The 20088-nt window shown below is 39.8% G+C and overlaps 1 protein-coding gene across 4 annotated transcripts in view; it reads left to right on the top strand.

The window, feature by feature from the left end:
• The window catches only part of KIF13A (kinesin family member 13A), a 228510-nt gene that overhangs the window by 78678 nt on the left and 129744 nt on the right, over window positions 1-20088 (top strand). For all 4 annotated transcript variants that reach the window (NM_001105568.4, NM_001105567.3, NM_001105566.3 and 1 more), the window contains exon 3: window positions 10778-10790. In NM_001105568.4, coding sequence (NP_001099038.1) covers window positions 10778-10790 — 13 coding nt within the window. The remainder of the gene's footprint in view (window positions 1-10777; window positions 10791-20088) is intronic.

Genomic DNA, 20088 nt, shown 5'->3' with positions numbered 1-20088 from the left:
AAACTTGTCCAAGGTCAACATGGCTAGATCAAGGCAGAGCTAGGATTGTTTGACCCCCAATCCTGAACTCCTCACCACTGTGCTTCATTATATCTTGTAGAATTAAGCCAAATACAGTTATGCCAGAAGGAAGTAGTTCAAATATACCAAAGTAGTCCAAAAAATCAAACCACAAGTCTGTCTGCTTCAGTACAAAATTAGTTGTTTTTCTTTTTGAGTTTTATTGAAAATGAAAATAGATTAACTGGTAATTTTTTAAAAAGAAACAGGGTTTTTTTTTTTTAAGAAGGCATATCAGGATTAGCATTTTTTAAAATTACAAGTGTATTTTGAGTTCATTTTAATTTTATTTCTTTAAGACAGTCTCGCTCTGTCGCCTAGGCTCGAGTGCGGTGGCATGACCATGGCTCACTGCAGCCTCAATCTCCCGGGCTCAAGCGATCCTCCCACCTCAGCCTCCTGAATAGCTGGGACTATAGGCACGCACCATCACACCTGGCTGATTTTTAAAAACAATTTTAGTAGAGACAAGGTCTTACTCTGTTGCTCAGGCTGGTCTTGAACTCCTGGGCTCAAGCAGTCCTCCCATTGTGACCTCCCAGAGTGCTGGTATTATAGTCATGAGCCACCATGCCCAGCCTCAATTAATTTTTAAATCTGTCAACAATATAATAAGTATCAATTGAAAGGAAGCCATTTTTTTCTTCATTCATTCCATCAGGTCTGCTTCAAGGTCTGTGACTGAAGTCCCATGTGGAAAGTCCCTTCACACTGTGGGGCAGTCGTTCAATCTTTGTAGACATGGTGGAGTGGCTAGGTGGAGGGGGCACACACTCAACAAGTCTTACAGATTTTTCCTTCAAGTTGTCTTTGTGTTCTGTCTTTCTGTCCTACTTTTTGTCTTGTCCTTGCAGTAGTGTCTTAACTTACACACGGTGAGGGCTGCAGTTGGTGCCAGGCAGAGGCTCACCAGTGCGTGTCTCACTGCTGACTCTAGATGGTGTGGCCTCTTACATTCACGCTTGAGTCTCACCCTCCTAAAACAGATCTGGCCATGTCATTCCCATTGCGCAAACCATCTGTGGCAATTTCTTCTGAGAAAAGGCTGAGTCATCATGGCAGTCAATGCTGTCTGCATTTTGGTTCTTGTCTATTCTTCCAGCTGTATGGCTCTCAATTACATTCTGTCTACCTGCTATTCCCTGAACATATCCTGTGCACTCTAGCTTTGTTCCAGCTGTCCTTCTGCCTAGGATTTGCTCCCAACACATCTGCATCTACATTTTTGTGGCTTTATTTATACCCCTCTTCAGTGGCCCTCAGTTTCCTACTACCTCAGCAGGAAGTAGTCGTTTGCAGCCTTCTAACTCCACGTTGTCATACCAGTTCCTTTTTTTTTTTTTTCCATAAATGCCTTTCCTTCTTGGAGGTTCACTCTGTGTAGGCTTCTCCTGCACATTCATGAAGGACACAGAAGGGCTAATTCATGCTATTAACCACATGGATAACCCTTGTAAGCATGAATGATCCACATCATTGAACATCCACATGGATTGCTATCCAATCAATACCTAGCCTAAGCTGAAAGAGCTCTCACCAAATTCTTTGATGCCAGAGAGGCAATACTCAATAGCAGTTAAGTGTACAGTGTGCTCCAGCCAGAGACTGCCTGGGTTTGAATCATGGTACTGATGCCAGTTAACTATGATCTTGTGAAAGTCATGCAATCTGTATACCTTGTTCCTCAGTATTTTTTATTTGAAAAATGATAATAATGAGAGTTTTTATGTATAGGGTCATTAAATATGTTAAGTGAGTTAAAGCAGATAGTAACAGAAACCTATCTGGCACATAATTAGAACTCAGTAAGTGTTAGCTATTAATTAAAGTAATGATCATCCATTTCAATTCACAGACATATACTATATGACCAGGTTAGAATTTACAACCCTGAAATGTGCTACCTCTGAAATGTTAGGTTTCACTTGTTGACTGTAGCATCTTATCTCACCCAGCACCTCTGCATCTTTATTCTTGAATTGTATCCAGACCATGAGTGTCTTACCTCTGCCGTTTTCTCCCAGTCTGTCATCCTCCTGACTTTACTTCCTTCTCTACCCAATTCTTGCCCTACCAGGTATTCTCATGGAACCGTAGCTTCCCCTCACCAACTGCAAGAATAGTGTTCTTGAAAAGTACCACAGCAGCCAGGCATAGTAGCTAATGCGTGTAATCTCAGCCTCACTTTGAGAGGCTGAGGCAAGAGGATTGCTTGAGCCCAGAAGTTCGAGACCAGCCTGGACAATATGCCAAGACCCTGTCTTGACAAAAAAATACAAAAATTAGCTGGGTGTGGTAGTGCACACCTGTAGTCCCAGCTACTTGGGAGGCTGAGATGGGAGGATCTCTTGAGCCCAGGAGGTTGAGGCTACAATGAGCTGTCATCACATCATTGCACTCCAGCCTAGGCAGCAGAGTGAGATCTCCTCCAAAAAAAAAAAAAAGAAGAAAGAAAGAGAAAAAGGGAAAGGGAAGGGGGAAGGGGAAAGGGAAAGGGGGAAGAAAGGAAGGCAGGGAGGGAGGGAGGGAAGGAAAAGAAAAAGCAAAGCACCATAGGCAGTGAGATCAAAGTCTTAGAGGAAATAAGGGGTTAGGAGAAAAACAATTAGAAAATGACATTAAGCATATACTTAAACTTAGTAGATTCTGAATGATCTACCCAGTATTCTTCCAAAACAAACTTGGTGGCATGTCTCTTGAATGAATCAGCTTCTTCACATGTTCAGAAAATTTTACTGTAGTGATTGTAGGTTTGATCATCTGATGACTCTCTTTTTTAAAATTTTCAAACCAGGCTTTATCTTGGAACTTAAAGTTTTTGAAATTTGCATTCTTCTTGTGATAGGTTTCAAAGGTCTTCCAGATGCTTATGTAACCCCTTCTACTTTTTATAATTCATAGAAGCATTTGTTGTATGTTTTCAATGTAGGTAATGTTAGATTATTGATAGAAAAGTATATAAACTTATCTCCAAACTACAGTTCATAAATCCTGATTGAAAATGGTACCTACTGTCCTGCAAAACCTCATCCCTATACCATCATCCCAGGTCTCACTTTCTCTGCTAACTGTAGTCTAACTGCTGAGCTTGGCAACAGAACAATCCCATGAGTCTGTGGCCCTCAAATGAGCTGTGTTCTCTGGTGATTTTTGCACAGATGATTCCCCCTATTGGGATAACATTTCTTTGGCTTGTCAGCTTGGTGAATTCCTATTAAGTCCTCCTAAATTCTGCTCCAGGCGTTTCTCCTCCAACAAAATTCCCTCTTTGCCCAGTGAATCCCCCGCTTTTTTGGAGAGCTGCTGTGCACTTTATATTGTTTTGTGATATATGTATAAAAAATCAGTTTCTTGTTTGAAAGACAAAAAGACTAATTTATTTTTGTATCCCAACAAAGTGGCAGACAGTGCATGTGAAATGTTTGTTGACTGAACATAGCTCTTCATTCCTGTCTCTGTTGTCACACTTATCACCATCCACTTAATATTAATTATTCATGTATGTATCTGTCTCTCTTGCATGGTTTTAAGCTTCCGGATGTCAGAGACCATGCCTAATTCCTCTAAATATTCCCTCAAAGCACTCCTAATATGCATTGTGGGAGTTAGTACTCAATAAATACTTGCTGATTAGGAGAATACTTAGAACAGGGGTGTCTGATCTTTTGACTTCCCTGGGCCACATTGGAAGAAGAAGAATTGTCTTGAGCCACACACAAAATACACTAATACTAATGATAGCTAATAAGCTTAAAAAAATTTTTTTTAAAAATCACAAAAGAATCTCATAATGTTTTAAGAAAGTTTGCAAATTTGTGTTGGGCTGCATTGAAAGCCGTCCTGGGCCCCATGAGGCCCGTAGGCCACGGGTTGGGCAAGTTTGACTTAGAAGATTTCGATGACCTGTTTAGTTCTCCAAGTTGGAATTGACAGTCAGAGGCTTCATAATAAGGAATATGTCCTTAGGCTAATTTCCAGGAGGCAAATGCTATTTAACTGTATATCTTTCAGATCTAGGTTGCAGCCATTTCCAACAATTAATAAAGTATTTTAATACATGAAAGAGAAATTTCTGGTTCAGAAGATACTTCTCTGATCACACACGTCGTAGGGCATTGTACATCAGGGCCTTTGGCCACCAAACTTCTAAGTAGCTAATTATAGTCAATATGCTGTAAACAGTGGTCAGAGGACTCCTTGACCCAGATATCTTTCAGAGTGAAGTGTGGGGAAGGAACTTCAGCTGTTTAGGATTTTTATTGCTGTTGTTGCAACAGGCTATTTATCCTCCTTTATTTTAGTCCTCCTTATTGAACTTTCCAGGTCTGTACTACCTACTAAATTAAGTACAGACTTCTCCTTTCAAGACCTGTCCAAGTATAGGTCCAATTTATCTTTACTGTTTTCTTTTTCTTTTCTTTTTTATTTTTAAGTCACAGTCTCACTCTGTCACCCAGGCTGGAGTGCAGTGGTGCAATCTCGGCTCACTGCAACCTCCGCTTCCCAGGTTCAAGTGATTCTCCTGCCTCAGCCTCCTGAGTAGCTGGGATTACAGGCATGTGCCACAACACCCGGCTAATTTTTGTATTTTTAGCAGAGATGGGGTTTCACCATCTTGGCCAGGCTGGTCTTGAACTCCTGACCTCAAGTGATCCACCCACCTCAGCCTTCCAAAGTGCTGGGATTACAGGCATGAGCCACCTCACCTGGCCTCTTTTTCTTTATTTTTATTATTTTTTTTGAGACAGAGTCTCACTCTGTCACCCAAGTCAGAGTGCGGTGGCACGATCATGGCTCACTATAACCTCCACCTTCTGGGCTCACGGGATCCTTCTGCCTCAGGCTCCAATGTAGCTGGGATTACAAGCATGTGCCACCACACCCAACTACTTTTTTTTTTTATTTTTAGTAAAGATGGGGTCTTACTGTGTTGCCTAGGGTGGTCTTGAACTCCTGGACTCAAGTGATCCTCCCACCTCAAGTGATCCTAACCACCTCCCAAATTACTGGGGTTACAGGCATGAGCCACGCCGCCTGGCAACTGTACTGTTTTCTAGTGTTCCCCCGCTCCCCCCATTTACTCTATAATCTCATCAAACTGAACCCTTGCTAAGACACCTAGAATATTTTCATTTAAGTACTTTTGCTAACAAAATCACCTCTATTAGAAATGGCCCACATCCCTGCCTGTCAGTCTTCCCTGTCTTTGAAGACCCTTTCCAGATCCTCTCTCTTCTTGACCACCACATCCCCATCCCTGTGCCTGCATTCAGCTTTGATCGCTCTGTTCTGTGAGTTCTTGTGCCATTTTGTTTGTACCTCTTAAAGCACTTACATAAATATATATTTCAAAAGTCACGTAAAACTTATTTTTCTCTGATAATTGTGTATATTTTTAATAGCAACCTTTTTTTGTTCATCCTAAATTCTAGCCATACTATGTCAATACCTGAGATTATTGAGCTGCTAGATTTGTTGCAATATGGAAATCCCATTGCATCCTTTAAAATACCTTTTTGTTTGTTTATCAAAATCATTGATACATTTCCCCCAAAATATGTTCCTCCAAGAAAATTCTGTTATCAAATAAGTTTGGGGAATGCTGCTGTTGAAATGTTGCATTGAATATGCAAGGAGAGTAACAACATATATTAGCATGTCAAAGTCTCTGAAAAGTACTGCCATAAAGAAACCCATATTTAACTGTGTTCAGCAGCATTTCTCAATTTAGTTGATGTCAGAAGCTTTTTAAGGGCTTGACCTTTGTTAACATCCCGTTCAATTTCTATGCTTGTGAAATGCTGGTCTAGAGAAATGATTATTTTTAAGTAAGTTATCAGAAATATTCTGCATTTTCTGACAGTCTCTGAAGTCTTCACTGCTGTTAAATGCAGGCAGTCTTGCCCCAAAATTGTAGGATTGTGGTGGTGATTTAAGTAAATCCTCACAACTGGATTATGTTTAACTCACTAATGTAAAAAAATTATTTCTGAGTTCTTATTCTGTACTCAGCCCTACATGAATAGATGGGATTGGGGACAGGGATTATATACCACGTGACCTGGCCTCTGTTTTCAAGGGGTTTACATCTTAAAGATATATGAGACTCAAATGCAGACAGTTACTGAAGGCATCAGAACTTTATGTGTGCCAATAAGTGCTAAGCTGTTTTGTCGACCCTAGGAGTCTTGGGATAGTAGAAGTAGTGAAGGCCAAGATAGTCTTCAAGGCTGGTGAGGAATTGAGAGAGCTGAGCCTTGAACTGTGTCTTCAAGAGTGGGCAGGTATGATCCGGCAGAGTGGAAAGACAAAGTGGGGTAAAGGCATGTAAATTGCATGAGTTGTGTGGTAAAAACTCATGGTGTGGGTGACCTGGAAGAGATCAAACTGCTTGTCCTGGAAGAGAAGAAGAGCTTTTGTGTTTTACAAAAATAGAACTACTATCAATGTGGAAAATAAGAACTGTCTCTCCTTATTTTCTCTCCAAATCCTGGAACCTAGAATGTCTTCTAAAATGTCAAATTGTATTTAGTTTATTTATTTGGAATATACAAAAATACTAATACTTGAATACTTAGAGAAGTCCACATGATTAAAAGCAAGGATGTTTTGGAGAATGAAGGGGAGGATGGGCATTGGAGAGTGGTCAGAAATAAACACACCTTTAGGCAAGTGTTAGTGAAATGCTGTTTTCTAAGGAGTCAGCAATCAAACCTATGTGTCGGGGTCACTTAGGTCTGTTTCAAGGGATGTTCTTTTTTGGTTCACTAGATATTTACTGAACAAAATCATTGCCTCTTTCTGTAATGAAGCCACACAGGTATCTCAACAGTAGTCTGTACTTGACTAAGAGTCATGGCTTTGACTGATACAATCAACAAAAGGCCATTTATTTATTTTTGAGATTGAGTCTTGCTCTGTCACCCAGGCAGGAGTGCAGTGGCGTGATCTCAGCTAACTGCAACCTCTGCCTCCTGAGTTCAAGCAATTCTCATGCCTCAGCCTTCCTAGTAGCTGAGATTATAGGCTCATGCCACCATGCCCAGCCCATAATTTTTAAAATATGTGTTTAGTATGGTTTATGTTGAATCTGATAGATGTTTATATTATTCATTCTCATTTCATTTGTTTTCCATATTGTTAAAAGATGAATTTGGCACATTAAAATTTTAAATAATTTATTTGTGCAGATAGTGATTCATGATTTGGGCAGCTCCAAAATGGAAGGGGTTTGGGACTCCACTGAAGGGGCATGAAGGGAAAGCTTTTGTAGGGTGAACTCAGAAGGCAAGCAAATAAATTATTTGATTGGTTAAAGTTTGAGTAGTTATTTTATTTGTACTGTCCCAGTGGAAAATTCTTGATTATATAACTAATGCTCAGTTGGCTGCTGGTGATTGGCAGTGATTGGCTGAGTTTAAGTTTTGTTTTGTTTATGTAGAAACCCAGGACCTTGAAGCAATCTCAGCCTGTTAAGTTTATTTTAGTAGTTTATATATATGAAAGCGATGAAGATTAAGATAATATTTCATAAGTATATGAATTTTTTTATTTTTACATTGTAATATCACATTTTTTCCCTAAAGGATAGCATACTATATTTGATTATAGTGTCAGTATTACTGATACTGGAAACATTTTTCTTCACAACTACCAAAGAAGGACATATAGCCTCTAGAGTTTGGGGCAGTAACCTTGAGTCTGAGTTAGGATGAGTGAGCAGCCCATCACCTCATGCAGGATAATTTTCTTCCCTGCACTCAAAAGTGTAGAATTATGCATGTGATTGGACCTTTTTTTTTTTTTTTTTTTTTTTGAGACAGAGTCTTGCTCTGTCGCCCAGGATGGATGGAGTGCAGTGGCACGATCTTGGCTCACTGCAAGCTCCGCCTCCTGGGTTCACGCCATTCTCCTGCCTCAGCCTCCCAAGTAGCTGGGACTACAGGCACCCGCCACCACGCCCGGCTAATTTTTTGTATTTTTAGTAGAGGCGGGGTTTCACCGTGTTAACCAGGATGGTCTCGATCCCCTGAACTTGTGATCCGCCTGCCTCAGCCTCCCAAAGTGCTGGGATTACAGGTGTGAGCCACTGTGCCTGGCCCCTGGACTGAGCTCTCAGTTTTGTTCGAGTCCCTTAGAAACCTTAAGAAAGGTGTATCAATGAATGAATTACAGGGTGTATCAATGAATGAAGTACAGGTTGTATCAGTGAATGAAGTAGAGGATGTATCAATGAATGAAGTACAGTGATGATGCACTACAGGGTTTACTTTTCCTTCTGTAGCAAGGGTCCTTGTTCTAAAATGAATGATGAGTAAGTTTGGGTAGCAGCAGATGAGCTTTGTGGCTTCCCTTTTTTCTTTTCTTCGCAGTCTCAATTTGTTCTTAACAAGCATTTATTCAGAAACACAAAAGAAGGTAGCAGAATTATATTGGTATTCCCATGTTATGGGCTATCTTCTAAGTGAGAAAGACTTTTAAAGTGCTTAAAATGCTGAAATAGGATTGGTTTTCTAAGAAGAATGAAGAAAACCTTCTTGGAATGTCAATGAAGAAAGGATAATTTTGTTATTGACAGCTAAGAAGGTGAACGTACTACTGACTACAAACCAGCACTGGTTCATTGCTGCTGGTGGTGGTTATTATTGTGCTGTGGCTGTGGCATAAAGGGCACATAAGAGAACTCCAGAGAGCTCACTGGGATTCCCCTAGTCTGTCCCAGCCCCGTTGGGTTACTGGGTTCATCATAACATAAATGGGAAACCTATATTTAATTACCTTTGGTCTGTGCTGTTTCATATAATGGCCTTATTGTAACCCAAGTGACTTTTCTTTCCTCTTTTAAATAAAGCAGTGATTTTCATGGCTTTTAAAGAATAAAGCAAGCAAAATGAGAAGGTTTAGTCAAAAATATGGTTCATAAAGTTTTATTATTGTTCTACCTTCTTAGAACTGAGGCCTTCCTGAATTGTCTTCCACTTAAGGAAATTTTCATGGCAGAAATCTCAAGTTTTTTGTACAGAATGGAAATCCATGACTTCCTTAGAATTAAAAACACTTGTGCATTTTTATTTATAACCTCTATAAATGTTTATCTTGTTTTAAAGGGTAGACATACAAATATGTTGAGACTTGCTTGATGGCAGCCAGAGATACCAGTTATTCTAGTTCCCCTCTAAAACCTGAAGACAAAAATCACATTCCCATTGTGTCTGTCTGAGGGAATGACATAAGGCAATAAGGGCTCATTCCCTTTCAACTAATTCGTGGAATTTCAAGAAAATGGTGTTTCAACTTCATCATTATAGGAATGGGATGATTTTTCTTCCCTGCACTCGAAAGCGTAGAATTATGCATGTGATTGGACATTTTTTTTCCCTGCTACTGAGCTCTCAGTTTTGTTCGAGTCCCTCAGAGCTCTGTAAGGAGTGTCGCACCCAGTGATGGAGAAAAAGCATCCTGCTGTTTTGCCTATACCTTTCCGTGCCCTCTGCCCTGGAAAATCTACTTTCTTAGCCCCATGATTCTATTTCCTATGAAGAATGATTAAAGCCATGGGGTAAATGCCCCCATTTCTTTTTCACAGTAATTTTATAGTTTATGAATTGAGGATATCAGAGGTTGATCAAGAGTAACTATCAGGAAGGCCAAGAACTGTCATAAGATTGCATAACTTAGAAATCATAATTGAGCTCCTTAATTTTATACATGAAGAAAATATTTACAAAGCAAGTCAAACTGACATTTTATTGCCTTGAAAACTGTTTCCTAGCCAAATGCAGTGGTTCACACCTGTAATCCCAGCACTTTGGGAGGCTGAGGTGGGGGGATTGCTTGAGGTCAGGAGTTTGAGACCAGCCTGGGGCAACATAGTGTCTCTTAAGAAAGTAAAAAATTACCCAGGTGTGGTGGCACACACCTATAGTCCTAGTTATGTGGGAGGCTGAGGTAGGAGGATCAGTTGAGCCCAGGAGTTCAAGGTTGCACTGAGCCATGATCACATCACTGCACTCCATCCTGAACAACCAAGTGAGACCCCATCTCTGGAGAAAAAAAGAAAGAAAACTATTTCCTTTTCAGAGTTTTTTCCAGGTGCAATTTCAGTCATTTCTGAGTTATTAACGTGTAAAACAAACGTTTTAACAAGTGCGTGTGTGGCTGATGGTGGGGAAAAAATGGAAACTTGCTTTTAAATGTCTATTCAGTGTTAAAAAATATGAGTTATTTAAAACCATGGTTTTTAAATGAGAAAAACTCCCACATATATTATGTTAGAGTATATGTATTTATCAAAGGAAAATATGCATATATTTTAACAAAAATTTAAGAAAAATTTAAATATAAAAATTGATTTAAAAATATTTAATCACATGCAGTAAGGATTGTGGCATCTTTCTTTATCTTGATGCTCTTCCTTTGGCATTTCTTAAAAGTCATTAAAAATATCTGAATGATTGAATTCATTCTGTGCAACCAAGAGAGAAATTCATTATGCCCATACCATGTTTTTGAGCAAATATTGAGTTTATCACTTCATTCAGTAATGTGTTTGAATTTGGCTTCTGATCTTCATGAAGAAGAATATCTTTCAGATCATGTTATCAAGGTGCTGAATTTACCTTATTTTTTTCTCTTTCATTGTTTCCCTCTGATGTGGCTGCTGTGTTGACAACCCTCTGTATCCCTGCTGCTGAATTTTTTTTTTCCCATCATTAAGGAAACCTCCCAAGGTAAGCACTAATATGAAATTTGGCATGTATACTGGCTTAGTGTGCAAAAATCCAGGATTTATCACTGTAACCCATGTAGAACATCTGTCTCATTGAGAACTGAAAACAGCATCCTAATTTAAAACTCACATCATGAACAATTAATATCAGTGTTAACATAAAGTTAGAGTGTCACTCTACATTGACAGAGCACTTTCACATATTATTTCATTCTCAGAATGAATGCTGTAATCTTCAAAGCAAACCTGTCAGGTTATTGTTTCTATTTTCTTGATGATGAAATGAGACTCAGAGAGATGAAATAGCATGTCCTAACTCACAGATTGAGTGAATGGAAGAGCTGGGACTGCACAGTATCAACAGCCTAGAATGTGGAGGAACAACTATGGTAAGATCATAGGATGGCAGTTGGTAACTGTGATTACTGATTGGACAAACGATCTTTTCCTGTGCCCCAATAAGATTAGTTGTTATCATTGGAAAAGTTCTTCACACTTTTAAATAGAGATTCAACATTCTACCAACTTTATATGCCTCATTGGAGTTCCTAGCCCATCACAATGGCCACTAGTTAGTTTTTTCCCCACCTGCTCTGGCCAACCTTTGATGGCATTTTTACCAGTGAGAAGGCCAGAAGTTAGAGAATAGTTAGAGGAGGGAAGTGGGGGAATATGAGAAGTAAGGAATCTGAATGACCAGCCCCTGAATAACTGAAGATTGATTTTGTTACCAGTGAGCATTTTGCTGAGTATCAGAGGGACACTTAGCACCAAAAGGAGTGAGAAATTTGACCAGCCCCTGGCCAGTGATACTGATTATAGCTGTGGTTCTTGAGATAGGATTAGAACAGGCTTTACCTACACAAATTATATGGTCAGAATCTAAGACAAGTTGGGTGACGGCATGGAATCCAGAAAAGACAAAGCTTACTTTCCCCTGGGGTTATGAAGAACAATCCATCTTAGCTCTTGGATTATGGAAACCCATTAAAATGCTGCTGTATACCTTGTACTTATTGAAGACATTGTCCTTGGCAATAAGAGTTTCAGCTTTAGCAAGGAAGGCATGCATTGAACAAATGATATAAGATCTGTTAAGAAAGAGGAAATATATAATATATTAGAAAAGTATTGGCAGTGGCATTCTGGACAAATCTAGGGAATCAGGAGATTCTCCCCGAGCAATTGTCGACGTAGATATAATCCCTAAAACTGGTCTCTACTGGAATGTATAAGTGCCGTTTATCTAGCTTTTACATCCCTTGCTGTTGGTTCCCCAAAGTTTCAGAAGAGTCAGTCTTGTAGTACAAAGTATTCCCCCACAGAAAAATACCAGTGAAATACTGCGCAACTCCACATATGCCTGCTTAGTGAAGGAAAAGCACTGAAATGAAAAAGAGACACAAAAACATTTTTAAAAACCACTATTGCTTTGTACACAGGAATGTTCTTGTCACTTTCTAGTGAGTATATATAGCCTAGTGGTTCCCAGCCTTATTTTTGCTGGATATCCTATTGATCGTTCCTAAGAAGTGTCATGAAATTTTCAAAATAAAATTAACGCTGAATCACAATGTTAAACAATGTGTATATGCATGCCATAAGGCACATCTGGAAAGCATAAAGATCATCTTGAACTCAAATAAATGACACAATAGAATCAAATAAAGATGGACACAAAGTAGATATAGGCCTTTCCTCATAGAAACTATGTAAATGTTGAAAGAAAGTGGAAAAGGGAAAGGTGCTTTTAATGATGATTATGTAAGAATAAAATTTTATTTAAAACGATGAGATTTGGGCATAAGCAATCAAAAGCATCAGAGAAGCCTGGTTGTTTCGATTTAACAAATAATTATTCTGGGCAGGGGACAGGTGCTGCATGAGTCAGACAGAGCTCTAGCATTCTAATGGGGGTGGGGGGAGGGGAATACAGTTGACCCCTGAACAGCACAGGTTTGAACTGCCCAGGTCCACTTATATGCAAATTTTTTTCAACCAAACGCAGTTAGAAAATACAGTATTCGGGGGACATAAAACCCATGTATACAGAGGGCCAACTTTTCCTATAGATGGGTTCCAGGGGACCAACAGAGTAGGACTGGAGTCTGTGTGGATTTTGGTATACATGGGGGTTCTAGAACCAATTCCCCACATATACCAAAGGATGATTGGTATGTGCACAATATAAAATTGATTATATTAAAGACCACAAGAGGCAAAATATTTGTGAAATTCATAGAATGAAAGTTCCTGTTCAGACTTCTGCTGTCAGAAATGACAAACTAGGTAATTAGCATTGCCTTTTCCACTGAGGACAACTAGGACTGGACAAAATATTAAAAACTTGTGCTTGAAGGCACTGGAGATAAGCCAAGTTAGTGAGGAATTACTAGACCAAGATCCAGAAAGAGGTAAAAATTTAGAGAGATGAACCTAGCATTTAGATATATGCCATTCAGGAAGGAGCGGCTTAAAGACAGAGCAAATGCATATTGCTGACTGCTTTGTGGGGCTGAGGAGGACAAAGTACTGGAGTTCAAGTCCTTCCAGAGGTGGAGTCCTTGCTAATCTCCTTATACTTTGGGTTGGTAAAGTGGATTGAGATGCAGCCAGGGGTAGGGTATGAAGGTGAAACAGAGGTAAACCAGCCATCACATGGATTGTTGTGTGGTTCCAAGCCATTTGTATGATCCAGGAAATCTCAAGCACAAAAATTGGAACAAAGTGATACCAGAATGCAGGTGCCCATAGGCACCTGGCAGAAGTAAATGAAATCCTAAGTCTTTAGTGATTCCACAAACTGTTTTAAAAATACAATGTCCAATACACCATCAAAGTTAAGGAGGTACATGACAAGATGTGACATGAACAAGAGCCAACAGAAATAATAAAAATTAGAAATAGACCCATAGATGCTTCAGATGACCAAATTATTAGACAGGAACTTCAAAATGAATATATTTGTTATCTTCAAAGACATAAAACATAAGATTGAAAAATGTTGGAGAGAACTAGAAGCTATAGAAAGTGGCATAACTGATTTGGAAAATAACCCAATAGAAATAAATCCTCAATCTGAAAAACCCAAAACCGAAATTAAGAATTTAGTGCAAGGGTTTAGCAGCAGATAGATCCAGCTGTTTTTAATCCTTTCTTAGGAAGATCCAAATGCCTAGCTGGTCCAGTTGAGTTAATGATAACTCAGCCATGGTTGAGTTACCATTATTCTTACCCAACTGTTAATGCAGGAAAGGTCTCACATCCTTTCTATCAATCCCTGGGATTGTACTCTCTGAGTACTATTATTAGTAACAGCTGTCTTTAATAGAGAGGGAGTTGGGATAGGGATGAATAAGTAAAGCATAGGGGAAACTGTACTGTGTGATACTGTAATGGCAGATATATGACATTATGCATTTGTCAAAATTCATAGAACCATACGGCTCAAAGAATGGATCCTAATATAAACCGTGAAGTTTAGTTATGAATAATGTATCAATATTGGTTCATCAGTTATAACAAATGTACCACACTAATAAAGATGTTAATAATTGGGGAAACAATTCTTAACAGTAGGGAGTGGGGACAAGCGAGACTATATAGGAACTCTGTACTATCTGCCGAAGTTTTTTGTAAGCCTAAAACTTCTGTAAAAAAAAAAGTCATGATTATGAAAAAATCACTATAATTCTTATTAACAGAATGAAAAAGAAAAACTATGTGATCATATCAGTAAGATGCAGAAAAAGGCCAGGTGCAGTGACTCACGCCTGTGATCCCCGGCCTTGGGAAGCCAAGGTGGGAGGATTGTTTGAGACTAGCTTGAGCAATATAGCAAGACCTTGTCTCTACTAAAAATAAAAAAAGTTAGCAGGGCATGATGGCGTATGCCTGTAGTCCTAGCTACTCAGGAGGCTGAGGTGGGATGATCACTTGAGCACGGTAAGTTTAGGCTGTAGTAAGCTTGATCATGCAACTGCACTCCAGCCTGGGCGACAGAACCCTGTCTCAAAAAAAAAAAAAAATGGGGTGAGACGCAGTGGCTCACACCTGTAATCCCAGCACTTTGGGAAGCCAAGGTGGGAGGATCACGAGGTCAGGAGATCAAGACCAGCCTGGCTAACACAGTGAAACCCTGTCTTTACTGAAAATACAAAAATTAGCCGGGTGTGGTGGCACACGCCTGTAGTCCCAGTTACTTGGGAGGCTGAGACAGGAGAATCACTTGAACCCGGGAAGCAGAGGTTGCAGTGAGCCGAGATTGCGCCACTGCACTCCAGCCTGGGCGACAGAGCAAGACTCTGTCTCAGAAAAAAAAAAAAAAAAAAAAAAAGATGCAGGAAAAAAAGCATTTGACAGAATTCAATGTTTATTTATGAATTTATGATACAAACTTGCAGCAGCCTAACAGTAGACAGAAACCTCAATATGATAAAAGGCCCATGAGAAATCTACATCTGACATCCTATGTAATAGTAAAAGACTGAATACTTTCTGCCTAAAATGGGGAATAAGGCGAGGATATTGATCTAACCACTTATATTGTGCATTGACAGGAGGTCCTAGGCAGTGCAGTTAAGCAAGAAAAGAAGTAAAGGAAATTCAAGATGGAAAGGAAGTAGCAAAAGTATATTTACAATAAGGTACAATAAGGTTGTATACTTGGAAAACCTTAAGAAATCTGCAAACAAGCTCCTGCAAGGTGGCAGAAAAAAGGTCAAAATATATTTCTTTATACTATCAATAAACAATTCAAAAATAAAATTTTTAACCATCAAAACATCAAAAACATTAAATACTTGGGATATATTGAGTGAAAAACAGGCAGAGCTTCTAAAACCCACATTTGGTTATTTGATTGTAGACAGATGTGCTAAGACATAGAACTAGGAAAGTGTCAGCTGTGCTCAGGTAAGGGCAAGGCATAGAGTTGGACTAAAGGTACATGAAGAGGAATCCTGGGTGACTGAACTGTATTTACCCACAGCACTCTTGACACCAAATGTATGGTGTTTTCCCCAGCACCAGTAAATTCTCCAATTCTCCAAAATCAACTGAGTGCCCTACTATCTAGTTCAATTCTGGCATGTTACCTGGAGTTAGCACAGACCTACAGGTTAGGGGCTCAGTCCCATAAGGCTGCCTCCACTTTAGATGCCATTCGCAAGTCCCAGGTTGCCACCTATACTTCTGACCTACCGGCTATAAATCAAGAGTTCCCGTGTCCCCCTCCTCAGGTTCCATAATTTGCTAGAATGGCTCACAGAACTCAGGAACGCCCTTTACATAATATTGCCAGCTTTGATAAAGGATAAAACTCAGGAAGAGTCAGATGGCAGCAATGCATAGGGCAAGGCAGCATGAAGCCTCTCTGCCCTTTCTGTGTGTACTGCCCTTCCAGTACCTTCTTGTGTTCAGCAACCCAGATGCTCTCCCATCCTTGTAGTTTAGGGATGTTTATGGAGGCTCCATCACATAGGCATAATTGATTGAATCCATTGAACTCAGTCTCTAGTGTCTCTCCCCTCCCAGAAGTCAAGAATTGGGCTAAATGTTCCAACCCTCTAATCCTGCCTTGGTCTTTCTGGTAAGCAGCCCTATCTTGAAGCCACCTGGGGACCCCAGCCACCAGTCATCTCATTAGCATACAAAAGACACTCTTATCACTGCACAGTGATGTATCACCCAGCTGTGGCAGGCCTTGATGTCAGGGTTGGACCTTGATACCTTCAGTGTCTCTATTGCCTGTTTTGAACAAAGCTTGATCAGTAGGGAGGCTAGTGGTAGTATTCAGTAAAATACATCAGAAAAAAAGGAAATAAGGGTTTGCACAGGAGCAGTGCCCATTAGAGCAGGAAAGAGGAAGGGAAGAATTACGAAAACATTACAGAAATAAAGTAACCAGGACTTTGATGCTAACAGCATATAGGAGAAGACAGTATATCAAGAGTCAGAGATGTCTCGGATTTGAAACTGAGTGAATGAAAAATCAAATCAACATAAACTAAAGAAGGAAGAGCTAGTTTGGTTCAGTGGGAAGTTGATTACGTTCTAGAGTGGGCTGAGTTGGAAGTGATGGCAGCCATCTGATAGGATGCTTAGCAGGTGATACGAATTTGCCGACTCTGCCTTACAAAGATCAGGTAAATTATTGGGGTGAAGAGAGTAGGAAGTGGAGGAAGAGGTATCTCTTGTCAAGGAAAACAGGATTAAGTGGAATAGAAGACATGAGAGAATAGAGGATAGCACCTTGGGACTCACTCTGCTTTGGAGAATGAAAAGAGGAGGAAGAACCAATGAAAATTAAGAAAAGCCATGGATTCATGAATGGTGCTGTTGGTGGTGGTGGAGTTGAGAATTCATACACTTGTTCTCCCCAAATTGGGTGTCTTTCTTTTTTTAAGAGACAGGGTCTCACCGAGGCTGGAGTACAGTGGCACAATCATAGCTCACTGCATCGTCAAACTCCAGCCTCAAACTCCTGGGCTCAAGCAATCCTCCTGCCTCAGCCTCCCAAGTAGCTGAGACGAGAGACATGAGCCACCACACTTGGCTAATTTTTTAATTCTTTGTAAAGATGAGGTCTCACTCTGTTGCTCAGGCTGGTCTCAAACTCCTGGCTTCAAGCTATCCTCCTTCCTCAGCCTCCCCAGTTGGGTTTCTTTTGTTCCTAACTCTTAAAAATTATTTTTTCTAAGTGTTGTGTTAGGGCAAGGAGAAGATGAAGATATTCTTCCAGCTGAGTTTTAAAAGTTAGATTTAAATTTTTTTATGTAGCATGTGTAATGTAACATGTCAGAATACAAGGGAAATGTACATAAGTTTCTGTCTTTATAAATTGCTTTGTACCATATCTTTGGGTTTTTCTCTTTGATAAATGTTACATTTTGTAAATTTGCACTCTTGAGTGGAGAAACATTTATTTCAGCATAAGCCTCATGCATACCTTTTAGTACTTTTACCAGTTGTGTATTATGATGTAGTATTTATGGAAGTGTGTTTTGTTTCTTTTAAACAGAAAAGCAAGCTTTTGGGCAAACATGAGACATCTGCTTCTTACCTCTCTGTAGTTTACAGGGGGAAAAAAGAGGCTTTGTCTCATAATTTGTAGGATTGGAGTGTCTTTCCTTCTCAGTGTGACTGTAGTTTTGAGTCTGAGGTTTTTGTCTGAGAAGTATCGCAGATAGGTGTAAATTAGGGAAATTCGACTGGGTGTGGTAGCTCATGCCTGTAATCACAGCACTTTGGGAGGCTGAGGCAGGAGGATTGCTTGAGGCCAGGAGTTTGAGACCAGCCTGGGCAACATAAGGAGACCTTGTCTTTAACAATAACAATAGTAATAATAACATTATTATTATTATTATTATTATTATTAGCTGGGCATAGTAACATGTCCCTGTAGTCCCAGCTGCCTGGGAAGCTGAGGTGGGAAGATCGCTTGAGCCCAGGAGTCTGTGGCTTCACTGAGGTATGATTGTGCCACTGCACTCTAGCCTGGGTGACAGCAAGACCTTGTCTCTTTGAAAAAAAAAAAAGAAGAAGGAGAAGGGGGAAAGTGCTTGTTAGTTTAGCCACCTTCTGATTAACTTTGGATTTTGGCAGGAGGTGGTGCAGAGGAAGACGACACTTGTGTGGAGAATCACTACCTAATTATGCCATTATGTATGCTCTATTGATAGGTACAGGGAAGTGTCCTCAGTCAAAGCAGCTCTGCCTGCAGAAGCCCAGTTTCTGCATCCCCAGGTGGCCTCAGAATATCTGGCATGTTCCAAGACCCCTCACTTGTCATGGTTTTGTCTTATCTGGGTCAAGTTTCTTTCCTTCCTGAGGAGCCACATTGAAACACACACAGGAATAAAAAAAGAATTCTTCCTCCTTTTTTTCATTTTCTTCTTCTGTCCCTCAAGATTTATTCAGAACCTTCTATGTCCCAAGTTAGCAGTACATAGCTAGAAGAGATTTTTTTTTTTTTTTTTTGAGACGAAGTTTCACTCTTGTTGCCCAGGCTGGAATGCCATGGTGCGATCTCGGCTCACTGCAACCTCCACCTCCCAAGTTCAAGCAATTCTCCTGCCTCAGCCTCCTGAGTAGCTGGGATTACTGGCATGTGTCACCACGCCTGGCTAATTTTGTGTTTTTAGTAAAGACAGGGTTTTTCCCTGTCTTTCCTGTCAACAGGTTTTCCCTGTCAACAGGTTTCTCCGTGTTGGTCAGGCTGGTCTCAAACTCTCGACCTCGGGTGATCTGCCTGCCTCGGCCTCCCAAAGTGCTAGAGTGAGCCACAATGCCTGGCGCTAAGAGAGATTTTTAAACTTAGATGATTTAAATCTTTTTATTCAAGACCAAGGAGACTGATGCTTAATTGGCTAAACCGTCCAGGGGGAGAGCTTGGCTCCAGTCTAGGCCTCCTGATTGCCAGTCAGGTACAGTCCAGGATGATCTCAGCATCTGTGGATTTTGGTGTCCTCAGGGGCTCCTGGAACCAGTCTCCAAGGATACAGAGGGACAAGTGTATTTTCTTTGACATCATATGATTGTAAATGAGTTTTTCTATGTATTGGATTTTATGTGCCAAGATATAAGGAAAGAGTAAGAAGAAAGAATCTGAGGGAAAACATATAAATAACTGAAAAATCACTTTGTGTAGGATCATATTCTTTTTTACTCAGTTTGCTCATTTTAAACTCACAATTGTTTTGTTTAGTATCTTATAATTTCATGTACGGTTTATTTGAGTGTTAGAGCTTGTGAATTAAATTCACTTTCGGTGTTTTTTGTTTTATTTATGAGTTAGGTTACTGAACTTCAAGGTGTTTGATCTCACTTCTATGTTTATAAGTTTTTGGCAAAATTGTAAGCTGAAGAAATTGACTACATTATAACAAAACAAAACTGTTACTTTTTGAAACTGAGTCATTTGAAGAAGCACACAGATACATACCAAAAACCTGCCTTTATGAAAATTGCTCAGAAAAAGTAAGGGGGAAACCTTATTAGGTACAGCTTATGCCATCTGAAATGCAACTTTATTTAGTCTAGCTTCACAATCTGTGACTGCCTTCATTTTCTGTTGCCTCTACTGTTTTGCTACTAAGCATTTGGCCTCAATGAGGTGAGTTCTAGACCTGTACTATTCAGTACAGTAGCCATTTAGCCACAAGTGGTTTATGAACATATGATATGTGACTGGTGTTGCTCGAGATTAAGTACAAAATATATGCTAGATTTAGAAGACTTGGTACAAGAAAGAAAAAGAATATAAGATTTTTTATATATTTGGTTAAATATATTATTAT

Source organism: Homo sapiens, chromosome 6, assembly GCF_000001405.40.
Source record: "Homo sapiens chromosome 6, GRCh38.p14 Primary Assembly".
Classification (NCBI taxonomy): Eukaryota; Metazoa; Chordata; class Mammalia; order Primates; family Hominidae; genus Homo; species Homo sapiens.
This window is presented reverse-complemented; position numbering and strand designations above follow the sequence as displayed.